The sequence below is a fragment of the Homo sapiens genome, chromosome 1 (assembly GCF_000001405.40).
Source record: "Homo sapiens chromosome 1, GRCh38.p14 Primary Assembly".
NCBI classification, from domain to species: Eukaryota; Metazoa; Chordata; class Mammalia; order Primates; family Hominidae; genus Homo; species Homo sapiens.
Genome location: NC_000001.11, coordinates 215,595,747 through 215,610,104, shown reverse-complemented (window position 1 = coordinate 215,610,104; position 14,358 = coordinate 215,595,747). Strand labels below are relative to the sequence as shown.

Genomic DNA, 14,358 nt, shown 5'->3' with positions numbered 1-14,358 from the left:
ATATATATTTTAAATACCACTATAAAGAGGAATGAAAAGCCTCCCTGTCCCCTTTATCTTACTGGGTTTTATAATTAATTTACAGGGCTGTTTATAAATATCTTTTTATTCACAATACACATGCTCTCCCTGAACAATACATCTACTCCTGGGGCTTTCAGGTGCTTCTTATATGCTGAATACTCATAAACATAACTTCTAGTTAAGTTCTTTCTCCAGAAACCAGGTATATCTTCATACCACAGAACCAGGTATATCTTCATACCACAGAATAGTATCCATATGCATCATCACTCAAAATATACAAGTCTGAATTCATCTTTGTTTTCAAAATAAGTTCTTCTTCCTATATTTCTTTATTTAGTAAATAATACTCAGCTACTCCATTTCTCAAGAATCCTTAGGGTCACTTTAGACTCCTTCCTCTCTCATGCCTGCCACATCTAGTCAATGACCACCATGCACTTTGGTTAATAAATTCCTCCTTTCTGGTTTCCTTGCTTCACTCTCTCATGTCTTCACTGTCAAGTCTTCTTGCATGCTCTTGAAAGATGAATTATATATATCACAAATCTAGTATCATTCTCAAAATTCTTCAAAAGGTCTCCATTACTTACAAGATAAAATCTAAATTTCTTAGTTTGATGTATAGATGCCTTCCACGATCCGGCACTGGCCTATTCACTCAGTATGTCTTACTATTCTTACCCACATATCCTATAATCCAACAATTAATGACCTTCTTGACATTTTCTAAACTTGTCAAGTTCCCTTGGCCTCTACCCTTTTAACTTGCTGTTTTCTCTGCCAGGAATGTTCCAACCTTAGAACCTTCCACACCCAACAAATGTCTATCCTTCATGTATCAGTTCAAACATTAAAACCTCTGTGTGTTCTCTGTCTGAATGTCAGCTTCTGTCAACATTAAGTGGGGTATCTACCTCCTAAATTGTCAAGATTAAACGAGAGCATATATTACAACCTCTAACATAGATCCTGGCACTATCTCCTCCGGGTTCTTTTTGACCTATGCCTTTAAGCAAAGTTGCAAAATGCAACTGTTTTATTTTAATTCCCACTGCTCACTACATTGTAAGTTGATGTTCACCGCACTTTTTAAAATTTCTAATATCTAGAACACAAGTACTCGATAAATATTTGTTGAATAAATAACAATATAAACTTCCAGTGCCTAGAATCATGCAGAGAACTGGGATTATATAACAACTGTTAAAACTGGTAACACTGCATATTTCTCTTTCTAAAAATAGTAAGGCTGTGGTAGTAGAATTCTCTTAAGTAGCTTATAAGGACAGTGAGATTCTTTCAAATGGGGCCGGGGGTGGAATGATCTATCTCTATGAAGACTGTATATGTGTATGCACACATGTGTGGATGTGTGAGTGCCCATGTGCACACGTATGTATGGTGTATAGAGAGAAAACCTAAACTAAACTTATACACCTTTTGCTGAAATCAGAGAATATCAAAGGAGACATACTACATTGTTTCCTAATGAATATTACGATGTCATCAAAATGACTCTCATTTATAGGGACCAACGTTTTTCTAGCTTCAAATTTTATTTTCAGTAGATTAACAAAAAAAATTTCAAATGTCAAATGTACACAGTTATCATAGTTTTAATAATAAATAAAAGTAGTTAACATGTGAAGATGACATTCTTTAAATGATGAAACATTAATAAGAGGAAAAATTTGCTCTAACATTTTAAGGAAAAACGCTGCAATAAAATAATTTTGTGAATTTATAGAATTTAATCAGAAAAACACACTAAAATTCTGTTTAGAATTTCAAAATTAAAATGGAAAATTTGTATTTAAAACTCATTTTTGTGGTTTTATTAGTTGATATGCTTCTTCTGAACAGTTAATATAGTACCTAAAAATGCCCTAAAATAACCTAACCCACCTATGTCATTTCCAGAGGAATAGCTACCATGACTTTCTGTCTCCTCCAGGGATAGTATCTTGAATGACGCTAAAGGAGTAGAACCTGGCTGAGTAGAGATCATTCCTCTGAATCGTGTTACTGTCCACGTCCGGACATGATTATTATCTGCACAGACTAGCAGAGAAAGAGAACACAAAAGAATACAAAATTACTTTTAAAAACTCATTTTAACTTTTTTCACTATCATCTATATTACACAGATCAGAGTATAAGTGGCAAATGACATATTTATCTTAAAACTATACTTGATTTGTGACTACTTAACAAAAGTGAGAAAACTGGATGTTTTACCTTGCTGCAAAATATAAGGTACATTAAGTAAACCTACAGATCCTCATAAAAATAGCTTGTAGGTTATAAATGTAGTAAAGGTTAAAAATAATGTGTGTGTAAGAAAAAAGATGCTGAATATTATCCTGTTCTGTGGCCAAACTACATAGTAAACAGTTTCCTAGTTTATTTTTCCTAACTATAGAAACTGTTTCTGCTTATGCTACTCAACTATTAACCTAGATCAGAACTTACCGAAAAATTATTGGCACAAATGACATTTGTCAAACATCTTGAGCAATCAGCTATTTATTGCCAACTCATAGTTACATTAAGGAAAATTAAGATTCTGTACTAAAGCTGAGCATTATTTTTATATAAAGTCTGTATTTAAAAAACATACTCCAATTAGTTTTATTTATTTTGTGAATAGAATATTAACTGAGCATATACTGAAATGTCTCCTCGTCTAGCTGTACTTTTTTTTGTCTGAGTAGATACTCTATTTGAAAATATACACCATAAAGTGTATCACTAATGCAAAAACTACTTTTTTTGGCATGCTTTAATAAAAAATATACTGATTTTGCCATTTATGATTTTAGAAAATATGTTATTATTAGCAATGAACTATGAACTCATCAGTAAATATTAGGAAAGTATCTAAAATTTCTTATATACACACATACATAATATTTACTACTGGGTAAAAATGTGTTACATATTCTACAGTTACACATATTTTAAACAAAACTTTAGAAAGAAATTTAATTTTGGCAAACAGCAATAAGTAACATCTGTGTACTTTCTATTCTTATATAACAAAATTCTCAATTATTAGACTGTCAGTTTTCTGGTGAAAAGGGGACATTTTGTTCTAGGCTATTTAGTTTCACGGGAAATCATTTCCTGATTTCACTACTAAGCTTACTAGGATTCAGAAAAATAATTTAAATATTTTTAGTTGATTCAATTGGACAATTACGTCAATTTTGCTAATATTAGTCATTATCCAAAGTTTTTCTTTAAGGGATTAAAATGCACTATAGGGAAAACAATGTCATTACATATGTGTTAATATCCACCAGGTGGCAGAATAACATAACTGAGTATACACAAAATACTCCAGATTTTTTGTTAAAAAGGATATTTCTCTTGACAAACTTACAAAAGTTTCAAACCTACATGAAATATCTGATGTTAAAATGCAAGTTTTACAAAGTAGTTCCTTGGTATCACATCCCACAATAACATTATAACCACCAAAATAATAGCAATTATTACAGAGTATCTCTATACATTATCATCTAAACATCACAATAACCCTTCAAAACGGCCCATTTTCTCAGAGAACTGAATTGCCTTATTTCATAACATTTATTCAGCATCTTTTACGTGTCAGAATTATGCTAAGTGCTGAGAACACAACAAAGTTTCTGCTATTGGAGAATTTTCTAGAAGAGATAGAGATAATAAACAAGCAAATAAATGAATAAGTGATAAAGCTATGAAGAACACAAAGCAAGGTACCGTTAGAGAAAGTTATTGTTGGACAGAGGTTTGGCTAATTTAATTTAAAGCAGGTGGCCAAGGGGCACTCATTGAGAAGGGCTTTGAAACGGCACCAGAATGACAAGAATGCAGTCAAACAAATACCTATGGGCAAACCATTTCAAATAAAAAGAACAAACACAAAAGTTCGAAGGCATTTTTAAGAAATAGAAAAGCCAACAGGTTAGAGTGTTATCAGCAATGAGAAAAGTGACATGGGATTGGGAAGAAATTTTAAAGGTAGGTAGAATCTAGAACAAGAAAAGCCATACAGGCTATGGTAGAAATTTAAATTTATTCTAAATACAATTAGAAGCCATCAGGAATCAAACTTCGTTTGTGTTTCTAAAAGATGCTTCTGGCTGCTGTGTGGAACATGTACCATAGAGAGGGAAAAGTTGAGAAGTTACTACAGTCATCTAGGGGAGAAAGGATGATGACGTGAGACACTAGACTGACAGCAATGAAAAGTGACTGGATTTGTGACATAATGTGGCAGCAAAACCAACAGGACTTACTGATGAATTGTACTATGTGGGAGGTGAAAGAAAGGGAGAAATCAAGGGTGATTCCTAGATTTTCAGCTTGAGTAGATAAGTAGATGGTGATACTGTATACTAAGATGGCTTTTGAGGGAGAAATCATTAAGTTTTATTTTGTCCAACTTAAATTTGAGATGCCTATTAAACATACAACCAGAGATCCAGACACTGGATATACAGGGTTTGGAACTCTTTGGATGGTCACAGGTGGAGGAAAGTTTGGGAACCACTGACATATAATTACTATTCAAATAACTAGGAAAGTGCAGATAAAGAATACAGAGTCCAGGAAAGAGCTCAAGGGCAATCCAACACTCAGCAACTGGGCAAAAGATGAGGAACCAGCAAGAGTTAGAAACTCCTCAGTGGGGCAGGGGAGTAATGTTTTATGAAAACCTAACAGAGACTGTTTTAGCAAGGCATACTTATACCACAAACAATTACACATTCAATAAAAGCATAATCATTCAGCTATGGACTGAATTTCAGCTCCACATGGTGTTTAATTAGATTGAGAAACTTTCACTACATCTTTCACAAAAGATGCATTATCTTCTAGCCAGCCTTCACAAAAACAAATCTGACACATGAAAACCATGTTTGTAAAAATTTTAAGTTGGGCAAGAACTGCTCTACAAAAGGAGTTAATGTAAGACTCCTCTAGAAAGCAAGCTTTACTGACACACCCAACTCACAATGCAATTTTCACAAAGCCTTTTAGAAATCATCTTCCATACACAATGAATTTCTTCAATAGAATTTTACTTTGTAATCAGAAAGTACTATTCGTTAAACTTGAAAATTAGTATTTAATTTTTTATGTATCCAATTAATATTTAATTAAAAATTTTATATTATGAAGAACTACAAACCCAAGAAAAGCTTATTTTCTTCAAATAATCTCTACAATTGTAATTTTTATTATTTTTGAGATGACAAAATATCAAAATACACATTTAAATCTACAGTTTTAGCATTAAACCATAATATAATCAACCCAATTTATATTAAAAGTAAAACTTGAAAAATTTAATAAAAATTCCTCTTAGCAGGGTCATAATAAATATTTTGCAATAAGATATGCCAAGAGAGCAAAAAAAAAAAAAAAAATCACATCTCCTAAATTTAAGTATATTAAAACCAGGTAAAATAAAAAACATCTTTTTTTTGTTTTCCTCTTTTTTGGTAGAGGTGGGGTTTCACCATGTTGCCCAGGCTAGTCTTCAACTCCTGGGCTAAACCAATCCACCTGCCTTGGCCTCCTAAACTGCTAGGATTTATAGGCATGAGCCACCACGACCAGCTCAAAGAAATCTTTAAAAGACAATCATAATTTCTTCAGTCATTAAACTTTTCTAGTACTTCTTTTAGTATATTTTTCTCACATAAACACTGCGTTTTCATTCTTTTAATGAAAATAACACACAGAGCCAAGTTCCTTACCAGTATAATGAAATCATTTTACCTGATACAAGATGCTTCTCTGATAGCATGATTTTTGTTACGGGACTTCGGTGAACTGTGAAAGTCTGAAAAAGCTGAGGACCTGACCCAACTGTCTCTGGGTGTTGTACAATCACTCGTACTGCTCCAGAGCTCGTACCATAGGCGATCTCGATCCAGTTACCACTGACACCTATATAAAGTCAAGAGTTGACAGGTGATACATTATGGAACGATAATAAAAAAGCTACCCTCGCAAAGCTTCCCTATGATAAAATAGGCAGAGCTGGATTCACTGTTTATATCAGCCCCAAATCCAGTTCAGTAAAAAAAAAAATCTTAAGACTTCTCCGGTCATCTTAAAATCATTATTTCCTTGATAAATCTTTTCCTAACCCTCACTCCAAGACGTAACTATTCACCTCCTGCCTTGCACTATTAGGTTCTATCACAGTAATTATAACACACTAATTCTGTACTTATTTCTATGTCTAGCTACTTCTATTCCTTATTGACAAAGACTGAATCATAATCATCTTTTTATCTGTCACCTCACAGAGTGCCTGAGACACCGCAGGTACTCAACATAGTTTAAAGAATTCATAAATCTGCCATGCCAAGAACACTACTGAAACAGCATAGTATTCCAAAAGCAATATTCCTTATTATGTCTAGCCTAGAATTACCATCTGCTTTACTTAAACTACAATACTAAATCATTCTCAAATAATCAAGCATTAAATATACTATTTAAGTTTCAAAACACTGTGCTAGGGAATAAACATACCCATTACATTGCTTACATCATACTTAAAATATGTTGTTTCTTCTAATCATCTAAGGTTCAGCTGTGTCTTTTGTTTTCTTTTTTTCAAAAAGTGCCCAGACCCCATTGCAAATTTAGATAGGAAAAAATTCAGTGACCTATACTCTTAAAAGCTTCATGGATAGAGAACATCTTAGCTTTACTGGCTGTTCTAGTTTTACTAACTGATTCATCTGAAAATACTTGAATCAAAGGAAAAAAAGCATGTCATGAAAAACACCTCCTAGAACCAGAAAGATGACTCCATTTTTCATGCCTTAAAATCCCCCTGCCACTACAAAAGAAGTGCTTTGATTTGTAAAACTTTCCCAGTTTTATGCCTGCCTTTTAACTAGATTTAAAAAAAAAATCCACAGCTCATTCTAGAGCAGGGGTTGGTACACTTTCCGTAAGGGGCCAAGTAGTAAACATTTTAAACTCTGCATGCCACACTGTCTCTGTCACAACCTCTCAATTCTGTCATTGTGGCATAAAAACATCCAAAGACAGTGGTATCAAAAAGAGCCAGCTTGGCTAGAAATCCGTGGTTTACTAAACCCTATTTCTAGAGCAATACAATTTAAGTCCTACTATGGTTTCAGTCAAATTCATAGGTATACTCTTGAATATTTCTTTCATACTAAAAATTATGGTTTCTTTTAATAACTTAAATGAAATGATGACTTATATAAGTAGCACATCCAAACCTATTAGTATTACTGAATACAAATTGTTTCTTAGAACTCCTTTCATTACAGATAAATTTTAAATTTCCCATTTGTGCTTATCTTTTACTCCAGAATACAAAAATTCTTACTACTTTACAGAACTAGTCTGTTACTTTTATTGCAATGGCCTCTAAAATGCACTGAAAGTTATAAAATGCCTTTTTTCTACAGCTTAAATTTTTAAATTCCCAAGAAAATAAGCTTAGTTTCCAGCAGTAGTCTAAGAACTTTTTATTTTTTAAAAAGCTCCTAATTTTTAAGTGAAAAATTAGTTATTTTAATAGGAAGACAAATGTGCAGAATTTTTTTTTTTTTTGAAATTTCAGCTAACATTATAATAATATGGCTCAACAAATGCAATTCAGCGTAAGGGGAGTTCCAATTTTCCACCTCAAATTATGTTTGTTTACTGGTCATGTTTGACTTCAGTATAAAACTGAATACAAATTTTAGACTTAGTAGAGATGAAATCCTTAGGCACTGCAGTTCTCAAAAAGAAATAAACCAGTTTAATTTGACCTAGTCACATAATAAACTAATGAATAAAAAGATAAAAAGTCAAGAATGTATATAATTGGCCATGTACTAACTTGTTTTGGGTGTGAGGTAAACACTCAGAGCAGTAATAGCATCATTTGAAGGATCATGATACAGTTCAGTTACAAGAAGATCATTATCTTTCATTCGCAAGGGGAACTTCTGCATATCTAAAACATAAAAATTTTAAACAGCATTAAAATAAATAGCATATCTATTTAAAACTGAAAGGTAATGTTTTCTTGTTCTCATTTAAAAAATTACATTAAGCAGGAGCATTTTAAGTGACTGAACACTTACCTATGTAATATATTGATCCATTGTTACATCCAAGCAGAAGGAATGATCCAGCAGTGTCATAACTAGTTATAGGAACAACATCTTGAACCTGATGTAGTGAGAGTATTATCAGATGTTAGATAGTAATTATAATTTCTATTTTCTGGTCAATTTCCTCAAAACTTTGATTCTTCTGGTAAAGAGGCAACCAATATCCAATTTTAGTAGGGCTTAGGAAATAAACTTTCTTTAGGTGCACGCGTGCACACACATATACACAAACATGCTACAGAGGAGAACCATCAATATACTTCCTTCAAAATATTTTTTTTAAATTGTATTTCCCACAGCAGTACTTTCCTTTCTCAATTTCGATTGGTTGTCTCCTCTTTTTTTGCATGTGATCACTAGATTGCAGCCCACTAGAACTGGAAGGCCGAGTCTGACCAGGTCCCTCTCTTTTCCCTTTCTCATACAAGAGATTAAATGACCTGTCCAAAGTTACACAGTAAGCAAGTGACAGAATCAGAACTAGTAAACAAAGCAACTGATTTCCAGAAAGTACTTGCTCCCTTGATAATTTATTATTTCTCTGAAAAGGTGGTATTCTCTATTTTTCATTCTCCTTGCTAAAGGTTACTTCTTTTCTAGGAAATGGCAAGGGAAACAAAGTCTCATTTGTATTTATTTTTTTAAAGTATAGGAATAAAAAAATTAGTTTTTCCAGGAAAATCAATCTAGTTTACAAATTAATACCTTCCCATATTTGTGCTAAAAGAAACCTGCCGAGGCAGGCAGATCACCAGAGGTCAGGAATTCGAAATCAGCCTAGCTAACACGGTGAAACCCTGTCTCTACTAAATATACAAAATTAGCTGGGCGTAGTGGCGCATGCCAGTAATCCCGGCTGCTCGGGAGGCTGAGGCAGGAGAATTGCTCGAACCTGGGAGGCAGAGGTTGCGGTGAGCGGGGATTGTGCCACTGCACTCCAGCCTGGGCAACAGAGTGAGACTTGGTATCCAAAAAAAAAAAAAAATGTGTTTGCTAGGATAGTTGCAATACTATTTTACTAGAGTGATATTCTACTATTCATCAAAATGAATCTTCCCTGTTTACAGCCAGGCCAGACAAGCCTGTTAAGCTTCTTCACAGATGACATTTGAATTACTAAGACACCAAGTTTTGCATACAAGTCTAAAAGATTTCCAATAATTTAAAAGTTAAAAATGTTAAGGGACTTTTACTTTTCATATACTATACCTGGCTTTCATTTGAAAAGTTAAAATCTAAACATTATCTGCTTAACATTTAAGTACTTTTTATGTACCACATATTATCCAAGAAAACAAACAATGAACTAGAGATAAGGGATGTGAGGTATCCCCTTGCTCTCTAGGAGCTGGTAACTTGTGAGAAAGAAAAATAACAGACAATTATAGTGTGACAGGCACTAAAATAGACTACAATACAATCACAGGAGAGAGGGGAAGAACTGCCATCTCAGTGCTGGTGGGTGAAGAGCAAAGATCAAGGAAGGTTCACAGAGGAAGTGAAGCTTGAAGACTGAAGTCAACTATGAGTTAGGTAGGGCAAGGGGAAAGGGAATATCTGAAGAGCAAGTAAAAAAAGCACAGAATCTAGGTTCATTCTAATTAAAAACAGAAATAACTAAAACTTGGAAATAATCATTCCTCTAAGCTCTTCCTGTATATAATCCTAATTTCTGTACCCTCTCAATGTCATGCAGTTATGAGTTACACAAGAAATATCTCAAAGAACTCAATCATCATGCCCTATCCTGAGGTCAGGCTTTTAATTAAAGCCAATGCCAAAACATTTTATACCAGGAAAACATTGAGTACTTTTCAGTGATATCAGTAAAGATGTCTAAAGGATGGAGGGGAGACTGCTTTACACACCACTAACCAATTTTCTTACTCAAGTTAGCTAAATCATTTTAGTTCTAGCACTAAAGGAAAGGGCTTCAACTCCTGCCCCAGATTCTTCATGGCAGGAAAATGGGGACAGATAAGGCCATGAGATTCTTCTCCCTTTGGATACATTCTTTTTTTTTTTTTTTTTTCAATGAAAGAGCAGCAGGAGCCTAGCGCTTCCCAAGGCACAAAGGCAAACATTTTTACCATTTATTCTCTGGGAGGATGGGCTCTAGGATTAAAGCCTTGCTACTTCTCCTTCTGTAACCTTTAATCATGATCTGCCTTTCTTTCCATGTCTACCCCTCCATACGGGAAAACAGAGAAAGCAGAGGATAAGCAGAGTTACAGTGAGTTACAACTGCTGAGTTCTTCTCTCCCAGCACAAGCAAGGAAGCAGCCACTGTGTGGCCTCCTCTTCTTCGTCCTAACAACTTCATGGCAAGAATCCAAGAAACCATACTGATTAGTATGCATGGTTCAGTCATGTGGTCACAAATATAAAATGGAAGTGGATTTTTCTCTTATAAGGTAGCACACAGTGATTACCACTAATTTCTACATGTAAATTTAAATTTACAGTTTTAAAATACCAGTCTATCTTCCCATATAAGGCCCCTAGAATCTTTTAACTACAATCTCTATACCTGTAAACTTATCATTATTTTTTACAGGATGTTTTAACCTTCGTCCATTACTTTTTAAATAATCACTTATCTAAATTTACCATCGTATTTACCAACATCTTTCCTAATCACTGCTTAATGCATTCCATTTCTTCCCCTTCAAATATAACGTTCTTCTCAAAAGGCATTTTTCTTTAGTAGTCCTTTCAAAAATTCTCTCTGAAAAAAAACCCTTCTCATTCAGGTTTGAATGATAGTTTTGCTGTGTATGAAAACCTAGGCTGAAAGTTACTTTCTCTACCATTTGGAGAATGCCCGTTGTCGTCTTCTGGTGTCTACTACTGGTGATGAGAAATCTGATCAAAGTCTAATGACAGGCAAACTGTCACTATTCTATGAATACTTTTTATCATAATTTATCTTTTATTATAGCACATTTAAACATTCAGGCTGCCAAGACTTGGTACATTTCTTTAATCAATAAATTCATGCCCATTTTCATTTCTCCAAAATGTTAGCAGTTGTTATCTTTTTCAATATGGCTCCTCTAGTCTGTTCCTATCTGAAATGCTTTCTCACTTTTTCCTTCTTTTTCATATTTTCTATCTCACTCTTGGCTCAACTGGAAATGATTTTCTCAGACGTGTCTGTCAATTTACTAATTTTCTTTTAGCTGCGCTTCTATTTAACCATTAAATAAAATTAAAAATTTTTTTTCAATGACCTTTTAATTTTCAGTATTTTATTTCCCTCCATTTTCTGATTTGTCCTATTCCTTCAATACAGCAGCTTTCTAATTGTTCCATTATTTCCAATTTGGGGATTGCAAATTTTTTCTTGTTTAATGACTTTTCGTTATTTGTTTCCATGTGAAGTTTATAAGTTTTGGGAGGTTATTTTAGCAGAAATTACTCTTTCTACAGGATTCTTGTGTGCTCTCTTCTGAGAAAGTGTTCTAACTGGTGTCATATCTGTATCTAGAAATGTCAATAGTCCTAGATCAGTTTCTCAAATTGGAGTTCTCATAGAACAAAGGCAAGTCTTTGTGCTTCAATTCACTCCTAATTTGAATATGTTGGTTTCAATTTCTAATGGTTTCCTCTTGCATCTCCTTTTCCCATTCCAAGACACCAAACACACATCAAACTTTCTTGTTCCAAGATTACTGGGCAAACTTTTCCCAGTCTTCTCAGGGACTGAGAAACTTAAAACTTCAGATTTTTGTAGGAGGCTCAATTTCTACTGTCCCATGAAATCATGCCTCCTACTTTTGCTAAAATCCCAGATCCCAGAGCCTTTACTTTGGTATGTGGTATGAAAGTGTGTATAAACAAACTAGTCAATTAACTTAATACTTAGTATAAACAATATACATTGTTTCAATATTTGTATCTAGTATTTCTATATATAAATTTAGAAAGTCTAAATCTAAGTAAGTATCTCATATTTCTTACTATAAATTCTGTAAGTAAGCAAACAGACCACAGTTAAGACAGCAGTCAAGACAATACTGAAAAGTCAATCCCCTCTCTCCCCAACAAAATGTGGGCCTAGGATTCCTAGGATGCCTGCCTTATTCCTATTCCTAATATGCAGAGGTCTGTAAACCTATCACACACACAGAAAAAGTGTGCTTCTAACATCAGTGCTACAGGTGCCTCACAACAGGAAAGAGAGAAGCTAAATCAAACAAGTCTCCCAAATTCTTGTCCAGCCTAGCCCATCAGACCACAGAAATTCACTTTGAATTCTTGTTCCCAGAACCAATATTTCCTCCCCAAACTCAGCCTCCACTGTGTATTTAGAGGCTAGGCTATCACTCAGATGGTACTATGGCTGAAGATCTCTTATTTCTCAGAATACACACAGAGTTATCTGATTCTTTAGGAAGTAAAGTACATAATGCCTTTCTAGAGCCAACTTCCAAAGCTGTCTACGTTGATATGAGAATGAAACATGTATAACCTATGTTTCCAATATAAATCTAAATTTAAAATATCAACTTGGGAAGCAGTGCCTAAAAATTGCTATTAGGCTATGTAACAGCCTAGGCTACCTATTTGACAATACCAATTAATTCCTTATTAATATTCTTTTGTAACGTAATTCTGTGTGTGTGGGCGAGGGGGTGGAATTAAACAAAAAAAGGAAACAAGAAACTGAAACATTTCTTTTTTTTTTTTTTTACTTTTCTTACCCAAATCAGAGTCAACGCTTTTATAACATTTTCATTAATATTTTATTGAAACTGTCCTGATGATTTTGCAAAAAACTTTTAAGATTACATACAAACCTGGTTCATTTGACTCAAATACTTAAAATCTACCTTGATTATGTAACTAAAGAACTACATGGGATCCCAGGTCTACTGCAAATGTACGATTAATCTCTGCAGTATTTGATAATATTCTTCAACGTCTTTCTCTTTACTCCTTCCTTACCCTTCTGTCACAGAGAAAGAAATGTCTCTACTCCCTGTTGGGTCAAACCTTTCTAGCTGTGCTGTAGATCCCATATACACTCTTGACTTTTATGGGACCGGAAATAATCTCCATTCTTTCAGTCTTCAGGTCCTTCTGGCAACTCTCCTCTCTAGCTACAAGTGTGCTCAAGCCTGTCCTAACCTAGAGGAAAAATAAAGCACCAATTATCTTTTTTTTCAAACCAGCCTTGATCCTTAAGCTATCACTTGGATTCTCTGCTTTCCTTCACCACCAAACTTCTTGAAAGGTATTTGAATTTGCTGTCTCTCTTCTCTGATCTTTTACTTCCTCATTTCCTGCAACCTAGCTTTCTTCCACCAACACCTAACTAATATATATTTGCAAATGATATCTACTGCCAAAATTAATGTCATTTCTCCATCATATAATGTGTCCCTTTGGCTCTTGGTTGTCTATCCTGTCCCCTTAAATGCTAATGTTCCCCCAGAGTTCTAATTTTGACTTTTGTTTCTTTCTATATACCCACTCAATGGAAAATCTTATTAATTTTTTATCACATAAATATTATGGACTCCAAATATTTCTCACCCTTTCTTCTTTCCCAAATTCCAAAGGAGTACTTCCAACTATATACTTAACATCTACACTTGAACAACCATAGGGATCTCAAAGTAAACATATTAATCAATCTAATAATTCTTCACCCTACCCACCAGCCTCTCTGCTTCTCTTCCTATGTTTCCTATCAATTCAAAATACTACTAGCTACTGGATTGTCAAACTAGAAACCCAAAATTAGAAATACATTTCTCTTCCTTTAATTTCTCACATCAATCAGACAGCAGACCTGTCATTTTAGGAAGGTCTATGAAATATTCTTCAAATGTACTCATCTTTGCCACCTCGACCACCACTGCCATTAGTTGAGGTGCTCTGCTTCTTGATTGCTGGATTGCTGTAGTAAATTCCCTCCTGACCTCCAGTCCACTTTTCATTTTAGCAACCACTGTTATCTTTCTAAAACATGGATCTGATTATGTCACTCCCTGCTTAAAGTCCTTAATTTTTTCCTCTTTCCTTTAAGAATCAGGTATTAACCTTTTTAAAGTCTTATCTCTTTCTTATTCCTCTCAAGTACTTGAGAGTATTTAGCATGCTATCATCTCTGAACAGATTATGGGTTTTCACACAGATCTGTGCTCCTATTCTGGAAATAAAATTTGCC

At 34.2% G+C, this 14,358-nt stretch overlaps 1 protein-coding gene across 5 annotated transcripts in view; it reads right to left on the bottom strand.

Annotated features, from left to right (window-relative positions):
* KCTD3 (potassium channel tetramerization domain containing 3) overlaps positions 1 to 14,358 on the bottom strand; it is a 54,504-nt gene that overhangs the window by 11,703 nt on the left and 28,443 nt on the right. For all 5 annotated transcript variants that reach the window (NM_001319295.2, NM_016121.5, NM_001319294.2 and 2 more), the window contains 4 exons: positions 8,151 to 8,238; positions 7,904 to 8,020; positions 5,803 to 5,973; positions 1,933 to 2,088 (listed from right to left, as the gene is read on the bottom strand). In NM_001319295.2, coding sequence (NP_001306224.1) covers positions 1,933 to 2,088; positions 5,803 to 5,973; positions 7,904 to 8,020; positions 8,151 to 8,238 — 532 coding nt within the window. The remainder of the gene's footprint in view (positions 1 to 1,932; positions 2,089 to 5,802; positions 5,974 to 7,903; positions 8,021 to 8,150; positions 8,239 to 14,358) is intronic.